Source organism: Homo sapiens, chromosome 21 (genome assembly GCF_000001405.40).
Source record: "Homo sapiens chromosome 21, GRCh38.p14 Primary Assembly".
Taxonomy (NCBI): domain Eukaryota; kingdom Metazoa; phylum Chordata; class Mammalia; order Primates; family Hominidae; genus Homo; species Homo sapiens.
The window spans coordinates 33,291,839-33,305,559 of NC_000021.9; the positions used below are offsets into that span (position 1 = coordinate 33,291,839).

At 48.6% G+C, this 13,721-nt stretch overlaps 2 protein-coding genes across 6 annotated transcripts in view, besides 2 other annotated features; both read left to right on the forward strand.

The window, feature by feature from the left end:
* IFNAR2-IL10RB (IFNAR2-IL10RB readthrough) overlaps positions 1–5,383 on the forward strand; it is a 67,284-nt gene extending 61,901 nt beyond the window's left edge. Inside the window, exon 13 of the mRNA NM_001414505.1 lies at positions 4,346–5,383. Within this exon, the coding sequence (NP_001401434.1) occupies positions 4,346–4,519 (174 nt within the window). The 3' untranslated portion in view covers positions 4,520–5,383. The remainder of the gene's footprint in view (positions 1–4,345) is intronic.
* IL10RB (interleukin 10 receptor subunit beta) overlaps positions 1–13,721 on the forward strand; it is a 43,816-nt gene that overhangs the window by 25,472 nt on the left and 4,623 nt on the right. For 2 of the 5 annotated variants that reach the window (NM_000628.5, NM_001406840.1), the window contains one exon: positions 4,346–5,383. The exons of the other annotated variants lie outside the window; for them this stretch is intronic. In NM_000628.5, the coding sequence (NP_000619.3) occupies positions 4,346–4,519 (174 nt within the window). In that variant the 3' untranslated portion in view covers positions 4,520–5,383. Of the gene's footprint in view, positions 1–4,345; positions 5,384–13,721 lie in introns of those variants that run through there. 5 annotated transcript variants of the gene reach the window in all.
* Positions 9,587–9,636: an enhancer, noted in NCBI's record as "active region_18375". NCBI's record gives its function as "activates an Ori minimal core promoter by ATAC-STARR-seq in GM12878 lymphoblastoid cells {active_cell/tissue: GM12878}" and the evidence as "EXISTENCE:reporter gene assay evidence [ECO:0000049][PMID:35858748]".
* Positions 12,298–12,797: an enhancer, noted in NCBI's record as "H3K4me1 hESC enhancer chr21:34676441-34676940 (GRCh37/hg19 assembly coordinates)". NCBI's record gives its function as "activates a minimal SCP1, AML or CMV promoter by ChIP-STARR-seq in naive H9 embryonic stem cells {active_cell/tissue: H9 hESC(naive)}" and the evidence as "EXISTENCE:reporter gene assay evidence [ECO:0000049][PMID:30033119]".

Sequence of the window (13,721 nt, forward strand, 5' to 3'; positions counted from 1 at the left end):
GCAGGTTGGACATTCCACAGCAGTGGTGGCTACCCAGCCGTGGGAGTGGGAGCCCCTTCTTTCAGGCCCACGCGCAGCCTCCATCCCTGCCACCACGGCTGCTGTGTTCATGAGCCCTGTGCCATGTACAGGTGACCAGTGGCAGAGGCTGGCTGACATCCACTGGCTGTGTCATCATGTCTCCCTGGCTGTCTGCTGTCTATGATACATGCTCTCAGTGGGAGTTAATATGGGATGCAGAAATCTCCACGCTCCAGCTACTCCCTCAGGTCCATCCTTCTTCCCAAACGTCCTTGTCCCTAACCTTCCAGTCTTCCTTCCCCAGGGCCCCTGACCACCAGGCTTGTCACTAACCCCTGCCTGGGATCCCACAGCTGGCCTGATCTTGGGCTGCTTTTCTTTCCACATAAAGGTGATGATCAGACCCACGGCCCAAAGCTCTGCCCGTGGGGACACTTTCTCCCTGGTTGGGGCTGAAGTGCAGCAGCGGGCCACTTTCGGTGTGTGCCCACATACCATGCTAACCTTGCCATGAAACCAGGCCGGCCTTTCCTCCTACTTCTGCTAGGCATAATTACCCATCCCCCTTTATGGTCATCATGTGAGCAGACACAGACACGGTGCGACAGGGGTAGAGGGGACAGGAGTCCGAGCCACCTGCATGTGGCCAACATGCACCCTCTGACCCCATCTCAGGACCTACTGGGTCTCAGGCCTCATGATGGTCACTTCTGGGCAGCACCATCACCTCGCGTCCCTCGTCAGAAGCTCTGTCTCTGCCGGGACCCCATAGCGTCCCAGGAGCTGCTTTTTCAAACAGAGTACAATTATCTGCTGCAGATGGCCCCGCCTGACCCCAGAACTCTCGTATCTATGTTGTGACTTTCCTCTTGGGATTTGCCATAAACTCCACCCAGCATCTTTTCCCACCCCAGACACTTCAAGGATATGCGAAGTCACACATTCCCCAGGTTGGATTCACAGGCCGTCCCTGGTGGGTAATGTACCAGTCCTGAGGTGTGCATAGGGCTGCAGGCTGCACGGCCCATACCTTCTGCAGGGCCCTTTCCTGCCTGGGGCCCCTCCGTGCCAGCAGCCTCCTGTGTGGTTTGATAAACATATTGGAACAGTCAGTATTCCTAGGCGTGGAACATGCTGCCTCCAGAACCCTGAGGCCTCCACAGCACAATGCTTCCTTCCTAGTGGTGGGAGGGGCAAGATACAATAATTGGTCCTTTAAAGAGGATGTCCTGGCATGCCCCACTGCAAGGGTCCCCTCAAATATCACAGATGTGGCAGGTCCCTGAATCTCTACAGGGTGAGTTTCTCACCCTCTGCAGTGTGTGTGCCTCACCAATGCCTTGCCACTTCTTGGCGTGTCTGGTCCTATTAATGTATTGTTGTGATAGCTAATATCAGGCCCTTGTCCCCGCACCACCAGTCAGCTGATGCAGGCTGCCTCTGGCAAGGGCACAGAGCCTTGACCGAGGCAACTGCCTTCTGGGAAGGGCACAGCCTAGAAAGGGACTCAGCTGTGAGCCATTTCAGCCTCCGATATTCCTGGAGGCTGGGGGAACAAGCGCCTCCTCCACAAAAGGGATCTGGGCAACATAGCACTGCATCTACCCTCGATGGCAAGTGGGGCACAGGACCATAGGCAAGTGTTTCAGAGCGACTAGAACCCCCTACAGAGAGTGCCAGGCCGAGCATGGTGGCTCACACCTATAATCCCAGCACTTTGGGAAGCCAAGGCTGGCAGATCACTTGAGGTCTGAAGTTCGAGACCAGCCTGGCCAACATGGTGAAACCCTGTCTCTACTAAAAATACAAAAATTAGCCACGCCTGTAATCCCAGCTACTCAGGAGGCTGAGGCACAAGAATCTCTTGAACCCGGGAGGCTGAGGTTGCAGTGAGCAGAGATCGCGCCACCGCACTCCAGCCTGGGCGACAGAGTGAGACTCGATCTCAAAAAAAAAAAAAAAGTACCAAGGAGACTGCAGCACCAGCATGAACTAAGAATCCTCTATGAGCTTTTGAGAAGCCACAGCTGCAGCAGGAAGAACAAAGAATGAGGGTGGGCCCTTTGCTTGGGTAAAAGGTGTTGTGTTAACTGAGAACCAAAAGGAAACAAAATTATTCACCTGCTATTTTTGCTTCTGGCTTCACCATCAGAGAAACTGGTCAGACAGGAAAGAACAGACGGAATGAACGGTAGAGGGGCCTGCTGGCATAAGCTCTCACCTCCGAGGCTAGAAGACTTTGCAGACTTGACCGTGGAGCCAGCCCCTGTAAGATCTGAGAAATCAGAGATGGGAGTGGAGGGTGCTGGAGAAGGGCCAGGCAACTACGGAGCAGTTCGAGGTCCTCACATCACGACTTTCTCCAGCTTGACTCATAATGATAGAATCCATTAACCAGGATCCAGAGGATCATTTCGAGTTCAGGGAGATTTGCTAGGAATGGAGACTTTGAGTTAAAAAAGCACTAGGGAGGTTCATCCTACACTGATCTATTGAGCCAGCCACCAGTTTGTGTGTGTGTGTGTGTGTGCGTGTGTGTGTGTGTGTGTCCAACCGGGAGACTCAGCTGATACTGCTTCCTTGAGATTTAATACACCTTCCTTTGATCTCTCCTGTCCCCATTATCCCAGGAAAATCCAGAGTAGCTTCCAGTCCATTCTCATTAATCCACTGGATCCAAAGTTTAGAGAGGTTCCCCTTCCCTCCAGCCTCCTTCCTGGCCCAACAGAGGAGCACCCCACCACCCTCCATCAGCTGCTCAAAACCCACAAGGGAAAAATCCCTACAGGTCCATGCCAGGAGGTAGTGGAGCTACCCTCAGGTTCCATTAAGTCATACCAGAAGGCTGAGTGTAGAAATGACATTAAGAGGGGTTCCATCTGTAGGGAAAGGGTTCAAGATGCAAAGCTTTACAGAAGGTTCTCCGTCTAATTGTGAAGATTAAGAGCACTGGTGGACCTAGGAAGATGAAGAATGGAGAGTGGGAAACCAGCAGAGATTTCAGGAAATGTATAGGGGCATCTTCATCGTTCAAAGCACCGGAGAGACAAAGATTATTAGACTGTGGTCCCTGCCCTTAAGGAGCCCTGGCTACAGGTGACACAAACTGAGAAGAGTTGGTGTCTATTAAAAGTGAGAAGGCAGCTCTGTCTGATAGAGCATATTGCAAGCCATGTGTGTTTTAGATTTGCTAGTAGCCACATTTTTAAAAAGTCCAAAGATTGGGCCGGGTGCGGTGGCTCACGCCTGTAATCCCAGCATTTTGGGAGGCCAAGGTGGGCAGATCACGAGGTCAGGAGATCGAGACCATCCTAGCTAACGCTGTGAAACCCTGTCTCTACTAAAAATATTAGCCAGGCAAGGTGGTGGGCGCCTATAGTCCCAGCTACTCGGGAGGCTGAGGCAGGGGAGTGGCGTGAACCCGAGAGGTGGAGGTTCCAGTGAGCTGAGATCGCACCACTGCACTCCAGCCTGGGTGACAGAGCAAGACTCCGTCTGAAAAAAAAAAAAAAAAAAAAAGTCCAAAGATTGGCCGGGCATGGTGGCTCACACCTGTAATCCTGACACTTTGGGAGGCTGAGACAGGTTGATCACCTGAGATCAGGAGTTCAAGACCAGCCTGGCCAGCGTGGTGAAACCCCATCTCTACTAAAAATACAAAAATTAGCCAGGCATGGTGGCGGGCACCTGTAGTCCCAGCTACTCAGGAGGCTGAGGGAGGAGAATCTCTGGAACCTGGGAGGCAAAGGTTGCAGTGAGCCAAAACTGTGCCACTGCACTCCAGCCCAGACGACAGAGCGAGACTCCATCTCAAAAAAAAAAAAAAAAAAATCTTCGTTTGTATAGCAGTGAGTATCCCCACTTGTAAAAAAATAAAATAAAAATAAATAATAAATCAAAAGATGCCAGAGGCCGTGGCTCACGCCTGTAATCCCAGCACTTTGGGAGGCCAAGGTGGGTGGATCAGCTGAGGTCAGGAGTTCAAGACCAGCCTGGCCAACATGGTGAAATCCCATCTGTACTAAAAATACAAAAATTAGCTGGCGTGGTAGCACATGCCTGTAATCTCAGCTACTTGGGAGGCTGAGGCAGGAGAATTGCTTGAACCTGAGAGGTGGAGGTTGCAGTGAGCTGAGATCGTGCCACTGCACTCCAGCCTGGGTGACAGAGCAAGACTCTGTCTCAAAAAAATAAAATAAACATTAAAAATAAATAAATAAAATAAAATAGATTTTCCAGCCAGGAGTTCTGTGAAAAAATCTTTGTAAACCCAGAAAAAGAAATGGAGAAAATTGATCATTAACTGTCCTCTTTCCCTCCACAGTTTTTGGGCCATCCTCATCATAACACACTTCTGTTTTTCTCCTTTCCATTGTCGGATGAGAATGATGTTTTTGACAAGCTAAGTGTCATTGCAGAAGACTCTGAGAGCGGCAAGCAGAATCCTGGTGACAGCTGCAGCCTCGGGACCCCGCCTGGGCAGGGGCCCCAAAGCTAGGCTCTGAGAAGGAAACACACTCGGCTGGGCACAGTGACGTACTCCATCTCACATCTGCCTCAGTGAGGGATCAGGGCAGCAAACAAGGGCCAAGACCATCTGAGCCAGCCCCACATCTAGAACTCCCAGACCCTGGACTTAGCCACCAGAGAGCTACATTTTAAAGGCTGTCTTGGCAAAAATACTCCATTTGGGAACTCACTGCCTTATAAAGGCTTTCATGATGTTTTCAGAAGTTGGCCACTGAGAGTGTAATTTTCAGCCTTTTATATCACTAAAATAAGATCATGTTTTAATTGTGAGAAACAGGGCCGAGCACAGTGGCTCACGCCTGTAATACCAGCACCTTAGAGGTCGAGGCAGGCGGATCACTTGAGGTCAGGAGTTCAAGACCAGCCTGGCCAATATGGTGAAACCCAGTCTCTACTAAAAATACAAAAATTAGCTAGGCATGATGGCGCATGCCTATAATCCCAGCTACTCGAGTGCCTGAGGCAGGAGAATTGCATGAACCCGGGAGGAGGAGGAGGAGGTTGCAGTGAGCCGAGATAGCGGCACTGCACTCCAGCCTGGGTGACAAAGTGAGACTCCATCTCAAAAAAAAAAAAAAAAAAAATTGTGAGAAACAGAAATACTTAAAATGAGGAATAAGAATGGAGATGTTACATCTGGTAGATGTAACATTCTACCAGATTATGGATGGACTGATCTGAAAATCGACCTCAACTCAAGGGTGGTCAGCTCAATGCTACACAGAGCACGGACTTTTGGATTCTTTGCAGTACTTTGAATTTATTTTTCTACCTATATATGTTTTATATGCTGCTGGTGCTCCATTAAAGTTTTACTCTGTGTTGCACTATATGTGTTCATGATACTACCTGTGTGTCATTGTTAGATACTGAAAAAGGCTCTAGTTTGCCATCTTGATGTCCACTCATTCCACAAGTACTTCCTAGACCCTGCCTGCTGTTGACCAGGCACTGTGTTAGGTACTAGGTCTCAGTCATCTGGGAGCTCTCAGTCTAAAGCTTCAAAAACTAGAATTGCAGTCAAGGGCCAGATCCGTTATTAAAAAAAAAAAAACCTAGAAATAAAAAGTATAGTTGTGGAAGTTTAAAAAGCCAGGGGACAGGCTTAACAACAGATTAGACACAGAACTGAGCAAAAAAGGGAGTCTCCAGGTACAATGGCTCACTTCTGTAATCCCAGAACTTTGGGAGGCTGAAGTGGGAGGATCACTTGGGCCCAGGAGTTGAGACCATTCCAGGCAACATGGTGAGACCCCTTCTCTACAAAAAGTTTTAAAATTAGGCATGGTGGCATGTGTCTGTAGTCCCAGCTACTCAGGAGGCTGAGGTGGGAGGATAGCTTGAGCCCAGGAGGTCAAGACTGCAGTGAGCTATGTTCATGCCATTGCCCTCCGGCCCTGCCTGGGTGATGGAATGAGACCCTGTCAAAAAAAAAGAAAGAAAGAAAGGAAAGAAAAAAAAGAAAAGAAAGAGAAAAGGAAGGGTATTAGGGTTCTCCAGAGAAACAGAACCAATAGAATGAACATAGAGATTTATTTGAAGGAACTGTGGAGGCTGGCAAGTTCAAAAACTGCAGGGCAGACCAACAGGCTAGAGACCCAGGTAAGAGTGGATGTTTCAGCTTGAGCAAAAGCAGTCTGGAGGCAGAATTAACTCCTCCTCAAGGGACCTCAGGCTTCTTTTCTCTTAAGGCCTTCCTTCAAGTGATAGAAGTGAAACTCACCCACATTATGGAGGGTAATCTGCTTTACTCAAAAATCTATGGATTTAAATGTTAATCTCATCTTTAAAAATACCTTCACACCAACATCAAGACTCGCATTTTACCTAATCAGTCTAGCTGGTTGACACATAAAATTAACCATCATAGGGAGGGTAGATCTGTGATTGCTTTTTTGAAACTTTTTTCAATGTTTGCTGCATGTATATAGAAATAAAATTTGGCCGGGTGTGGTGGCTCACATCTGTAATCCCAGCACTTTCGGAGGCTGAGGCAGGTGGATCACCTGAGGTCAGGAGTTCGAGACCAGCCTGGACAACATGGTGAAACCCCGTCTCTACTAAACATACAAAAATTAGCCAGGCGTGGTGGTGCACACCTGTAATCCCAGCTATTTGGGAAGCTGAGACAGGAGAATCACTTGAACCCAGGAGGTGGAGGCTGCAATGAGCCAAGATCGTGCCACTGCACTCCAGCCTGGGTGACAGAGCGAGACTCCATCTCTAAATAAATAAATAAATAATAAAATAAAAAATTATTTTTGAAATTGAATTTTAAGATCTTGTTACACTTTTTTAAAGAAAAAAGAAGTTATTATCCAGGGCACAGTACAGAGAAACAAAAGAATGGAAAATATGAGTGGTTAGGATACAAGCCTGAAAAATCAAGCTGCAAGCGTAGATTAGCAAGCTGGAAGCTTGCACAGGTGAATGCGGCAGCTGTGCCAATAGAAAAGGGATACCTGGAAGCCAAGTACATCCAATATGGAGGTTCCTCCTCCCTTCTCTTTGTCGTCATGTGTGCAGGTGTCATGGTGCTGGCCAGGTAGAGACCCCATCTGCAGAATAAAAGATTAGGGTGGGATGGCCAGCCTCTTTGTGGGCTATGTAAATGGCACAGCTGGCCCAACCAATCCACTATGCCCTATATAAATCAAACACTGCCTCTTCAAGCTCATCTGTAAAACCAACCGTATCTTGCCCCAAACCCGGAAACCCACTCGGACCCACTCGCACCCCCTCCCTCTGCACAAGGAAGCTCTCTCTTCTTTCTTTCAACTATTGAACTTCCACTGTTAAACCCAGTTTTTGTGTGTCCATGTCTTCGATTTCCTGTGTCTGTGACTTCAATTTCCTTAGCATAAGACAATGAATCTTGGGTATTTCCCCAGACAAAGGATGCCACTTCACCAGGAAGTGACTAAGGGAAGAACACCTGTGGGAAAATGTCCAAGAATTCTGGGACCAGAAGGGGTTTCAGCAGAGCATCTGTGGGCCACCAATCAGACATTCTAGCAGAAAACATATGTCCAGTTGGTTTGAAAGATTCCCTGAGGGGAAGACAGTGTAAGCCATCCTCACCCCCTTCCACCCTTCCTCCTCGCTCTTTCTGGCTGCCTCGCCTTGTTGAAAATATCTCACTTCCTTTTGGGGCTCCTGCCCCTCCCCTAACATACCTCCCACACCCATCCCCAGACTGGTTTAGCCTCCAGGGCACCTTTGTTCCTTCCTCTCACAACCATGGGTCTCAGCCGTAGCTGCACACTGTGGCCGCCAGGAGAGCTTTAGAAATGTGGATGCCCAGGCCTTACCATGACCAATGAATTTCAGCTCTCTGCAGAGGGATTTTTGCATCAGCATTTTTTAAAGCTCCTAGGTGATTCCAGTTTGCAGTCAAGGTGGAGAACAGCTGCTGTAGCAGAGCAGTTATGATAGATTGAAAGGACGTGCTTACCTGCACTTCTGTGTGACCTTATGTTATCTGGCTTTCAAAGGGGTCGCTTTCTTTTAATACCCAGCTAACTGACTCCACTCATTACCTTGTGCTTCCACAGGAAGATTTCTTTCCTGAGGGGTTGTGAGTGTCTCTGGGAAACATGCCCCAGGAATGCATCCTTCCCATGCACTTCAGCCTTCTCGGCTGCTCACCACTGACCACCTGGGAAGCAATTCTCCAAGTTGCTACCCCTTTCTTTGTGCCTAATAAGATAATCCTAAGTAGCTGGTACAAAGAAATATTTGTTGAATTAATGGATAATAAATAATGATGGCTAGGTGCGGTGGCTCACCCCTGTAATCCCAGCACTTTGGGAGGCCGAGGTGGGTGGATCACCTGAGGTCAGGAGTTTGAGACCAGCCTGGTTAACATGGTGATACCCCGTCTCTACTAAAAATACAAAAAATTAGCCAGGCGTGGTGGCAGGTGCCTGTAATCCCAGCTACTCAGGAGGCTGAGGCAGAAGAATTGTTTGAACCCGGGAGGCGGAGGTTGCAGTGAGCCGAGATCGTGCCACTGCACTCCAGCCTGGGTGACAAGAGGGAAACTCCATCTCAAAAAAAAAAAAAAAGGTAAACAAAAGCCTTCTTGGGATACATGACAATTATACATGCAGATTAAACAGAGAGCTGTAAGTTAACAAATCACCATAAAACATATGCAAGCGAAAAACAAAAATAAAACAAATATGCAAAGTGAAAGAAAACAGTTATGTTCTGTACAGGATATCCAGATGCTACAGTCTGGATGTTTGTGCCTCTCCAAAATTCGTATGTAGAAATCTTTAGGAGGTGGTGAATGGGATTAATGACCTCATAAAAGAGGAGCTGCCCATCTCTTCCACCATGTGAGGACACAGAGAAGGTGCCACCTATGAGGACAGGCCCTCACCAGACACTCAATCTGCTGATGCCGTTCTCAGAGGTGTTTGAACCAGAGCGACTCCATCTTGAAGAGGGGCTGGGTAAAGTAAGGCTGAAACCTACTGGGCTACATTCCTTGGACAATTTCTGTTGTTTTAAACCACCCAGCTTGCGATCATTTGTTACTTCTGCCGCAGGAAACTTAATCCAGCACGGAAAGACTCTGTTGTTTTACCCTGACCAGTTCTAATATCTTCTTAGTATCTAAAATGGGGAAGAAGATGGGCAGAGGGTCATTCAGATTTATTTTACGGGAACTTAGTATCTTACTCTTCTCAGCAAGGGAGTTAGCTGAGAATGACTGGGCATGCTGCCTCACTGTCCCATTTCCTGAACTCTCTAGTTCAGAAAATGCTGTTGCAAATCAACTTCCTTAAAAAACAAACGGGAAGTAAAAAACAAAGTCTATTTTATGAACTAGAGACTCAGAGACTCAACATGATTTTTCTCCCTGAGTCAGGTCCATGGTTCTGTCTCCTGACCACCTCACCACTCCTGTTTGAATCAAGCAGACACCAAACAATGTCTTTGTTTCCATGCCCATGAGAACTCTTAATTAAACAGCCACTGACTATTGGGCTGGCACTTTACGAGGTCAAATTTATTGCTGTTGGATTGTGATAAAAAAGATAACCGGAAGGTTAAAGCTGTGGGAGTAATATCTCTGAGCAGGAGGAGTCATGGCAAGGACAGACTTTAAATTGGGTTAAACAATTCAATATAAACAGGAAACACAAGCCAGCTGCAGTTCCCCTCCTCTTGGCCTCTGCCTGGGGCCTGCCTGCTACTGGGCTGCCCCTGAGGGTCGCATTGCACACCTGCCCTATGGAGCTGATGGGGTGGGAGCGATAGCCAACCCTTACTTACTGCTTCCTATGTGCAGGTCTTGTTCTAAGCACTTTTACATTTTCATTTAATTCCCACAGCAACCCAGTTAAGCAGATACTATTATCTGCCTCATTTTTCAGATAAAGAAACTATGGCACAGAGAGGTTCAATCACTTACCTAAGATCACACAGGCAAGAAGTGACAGAGCCAGGACTTGAACCCAAGTGGTCTGGCTCCAGACTCAATCATCTAAGATAGCCACCCATGATCCCCACCTCCTGGTAGCCACACCCTTGAGTAATCCCTTCCTCTTGAGTGTGGACAGTGCCAATGACCTGCTTCTACCCATGGAAAGCGACACAGGTGACAGGATGCTGTCTTAGATTCCATAGGATTGTAATTCTCATCTTGCCAGCAGACTCTCTCTGTTGCCTTCTTGGACAGCACACTTGCATGAAGCAAGCTGCCATATTGGAGAAGTCACATGGCTAGGACCTGAGGATGCCTCCTCCAGCCAACAACGAACAGGGAATCGAGGTTCTCAATCCAACAGCAACAGGGTGAGGCACTGTTCTAAAAACAAGAGGCTGGAGCTCAAGGTGGACTTTCAGCGATTCCCTGCTCCTCATCCAGGGAGCTGCCAATCAGGCATAAGTCACGCCCCTTCTGCCAGGCAGGAGACTTCTTTCATTTCTAGGGAAATGGAAGCTGGGGGTTCCCCGATGACTGCTCCATGCGGGAGTGCCAAGGCTGGGCCCCCTTGCGTTAACTTCAGGCAACTCTGAATCATCATCCATCTCCAACTTCTCCCTCTGCCCAATCCTACTTTCCTCACTCCTTACAAGTGTTGTCCCCAAGAGCATTTCCAGATGAATTTCCCACATGCAAATTTTCCTTCCAGAGTGTGTTTCCAGGGAACCCAGCCTAATCTAGAGATCTTGGGAAGACCTGTTGCCGCAGAGTGATGACAATAAAGTCTAGACTTCATGGTATTGAGGAGTGAACAGGAGGGTGTGGAGAAGCTGGGACAGCAGGTGTAGCCAACTCCTTTGAGAAGGACGGCTTTTGGGCTCAGAAGAAGTGTGACAGTGTCTGGAAGGGGCAAGAAGAAAGTCGAGGGGGGGATATTTCAGGTGAGTGATATTACACCACCATGGTATACTGTCGCCTGAGGCCTGTAGACAGGAAATGAGGAGTCCGGCTCCTAGTTAGAATCCCAGGGCTGGTTTTTCAGGACTGACCCTGGGCAACTTTAAGGCTGTACCAAGGAGGCCTCACAGGGAGGCTCCCTCTCCAGACCAGAACTGGCATAGCCAGTGCACTGCAGTCCCTGGAGGGAGCTGCGGTCAAGGTCTCAGGCCCCTGCTGGCCATGCTCTTATGCACACCTGTGTTCCCAGCCTTGCACGTGTGCCCAAGGCCTTCTTCAGGCACCTCAACTAAGGCCTCCTTATTCTCAGGGAGTAGGGAAGGGGGAGCCACGAAGACATTGTTATCCTCTCTGACTCAGTTCTTTCCTACTCCTGGCCCTGTCCTCTCTCCCTCCCGCTAGTTCCCGGGTCCATAAAACTACAGAAGCCTCAACAGAGAGATGACCTTCACCCCCACATCTATACTGATTACTTGACTCTTGACTGGAGCTCTGTTGCGGGGAGGGTGGAATCCTCTTGCTTCTGCCCCTGCAGTGAGTGATGAGGGCTTCACTGTTACTTTCTTTTTTTTTTTTTTTTTTTTTTGAGACAGAGTCTTGCTCTGTTGCCCAGGCTGGAATGCAGTGGCACAATCTAAGTTCACTTCAACCTCCACCTCCCGGGTTCAAGCGATTCTCCTGCCTCAACCTCCCGAGTAGCTGGGACTATAGTTGTGTGCCACCATGCCTAGCTAACTTTTGTATTTTTAGTAGAGACGGGGTTTCACTATGTTGGCCAGGCTGGTATCGAACTCCTGACCTCAAGTGATCCGGCCACCTTGGCCTCCCAAAGTGCTGGGATTACAGGTGTTTCTGTTACTTTCATTTTTGCCTTATTGCTTCAATTAGCCACTCTCTCCAGATTAGCTGAGCCCTTGACAGATGCATTGCTGACACCCATGAGAGAAGGCCTGATGTCCCTGGAAAGGACACAAGAGAAGTGACCAGACCTACAGCCCCCGCTCTGGCCTTTGGCAGGAGGAGGGATACTCCCGAGGTTGTCACTGGAGAGAACACAGGCCAGGGATAGGCAGGTGATCCCACTAAGGGGGTGAGGGGTTAAGGAAGCCTGGTGTCTTCTATGTTCCTGGCAAAGTATAGGTCATCAACAAAGGGAGGGAAGAGAGGGGCTTGGGAGGAAATGAGTAGGATGGAGCAGCTCCCTAGGGGAATGAGAAAGTGAGCCCACCTGACCAGGCAGAGGGCTGATGGGGCAGTGCCAGAGCCCGCTAGAAAACCAGTGACAGAAAAGCTGCAAGGTGCCCAGCTTGGTGACCAGCCAGTAGCAGGGTCTGCAAGATGGCTGGCTCCTCCTTCCCAGCACAATGAGCATTTCTGCCACGGCGGGGACAGCACAGCACAGCGCTGTTGGCCAGGAAGGGGGCTGAAGAAGAGCCCTCCCAGGGGGAATGTTGGCATTGTTGCTCTGTTTCTAGTTTCCACAGCAGTCTGGAGGAAAAAAGGACCCAGCCTGAAGATGCATCAAAAAGTGATTGACACTAAGCCCAGTTGAACAGCCAAAGCCTGAAGGCAGGGAAATTCAAACACCGAGTCAGCCGGCAAAGTACAAGCCATGCTGACTCGGCCTGCTGAGCCATCAGCAGGATGGCTGGATTACCGCTGATCCAGCCAATATCCATCCAGAGATTACACACCGTCCCTCAAGGTGCAATCGTGGTTTCTTTTTCTTCTGGTTCTTTCTTCAGCACCAGCTAACAGAGCATCACTGATACTGTTTTCCTGAAAGCTTGCAAGGATCCCAAATGGGCTGCCCTGAAAGGCCCCCTACCTTTGAGCATGCGCACTCTCCTGGGGATTTTGTGAGTTCCCCAGCTCCCAAGTATACACAGAGCCAGATCTACAGTAGCAGACGCCTCATCATTGCAGGTCTGAATGGCCAGGAAGACATGAAATTGATGTTTCAGTTGACTGAATTGATCAGCACTTTTGTAATCAGTTAAACCAAGCCAGTTCCTTCTTCAAACAAGCAGTTACAAAATGGCTTTTATTGGTGGCATCACAAACACTATGTGATTAGTCATTGTCTTGTCTCAGGCTGTACTATCAAGATAAGACATTCAAACAGCGTTATTTTCCTAAAGATCGTAAGACTAAGGACACAAAAAAAGCAAAACTGGCTGGTTAGAGCCAATAACCTCCACAGTTCCTTACATAATGAGCAAAGGCTGTCCAAAAAAGGTAAAGAGCCTATTCTACTATTCTATGTAGATAAGGTCTCGTGGGAGGAAGTACCATCTCCTATCCCTGGTTCTAAGTCTTCAACTGTTTTTGTTGTTGTTGTTTTGAGATAGAGTCTTCCTCTGTTACCCAGGCTGGAGTGGCATGATCTCAGCTCACTGCAGCTTCCATCTCCCCAGGCTCAGGTGATTATCCCACCTCAGCTTCTGGAGTAGCAGGAACTACCGATGCGCACCACCACGACAGGCTAATTTTTTTTTCTTTTTATAGAGACAGGGTTTCGCCATGTTGCCCAGGTAGGTCTCAAACTCCTGAGCTCAAGTGATCCTCCCATCTCGGCCTCTCAAAGTGCTGGGATTACAGGCATGAGCCCCATGCCCGGCCCTTCAACTGTTAACCTGTATTGATCACCTACACTGGTAAGCAAAGGTCACTCTCACTTCCTAGGTCATGACCTATCAATAGGTCAGAGTCCTAACGGGAAACCCATGACACACTCCAACAGAGTAACTGAGAAAGGCATAATGAAGGATCT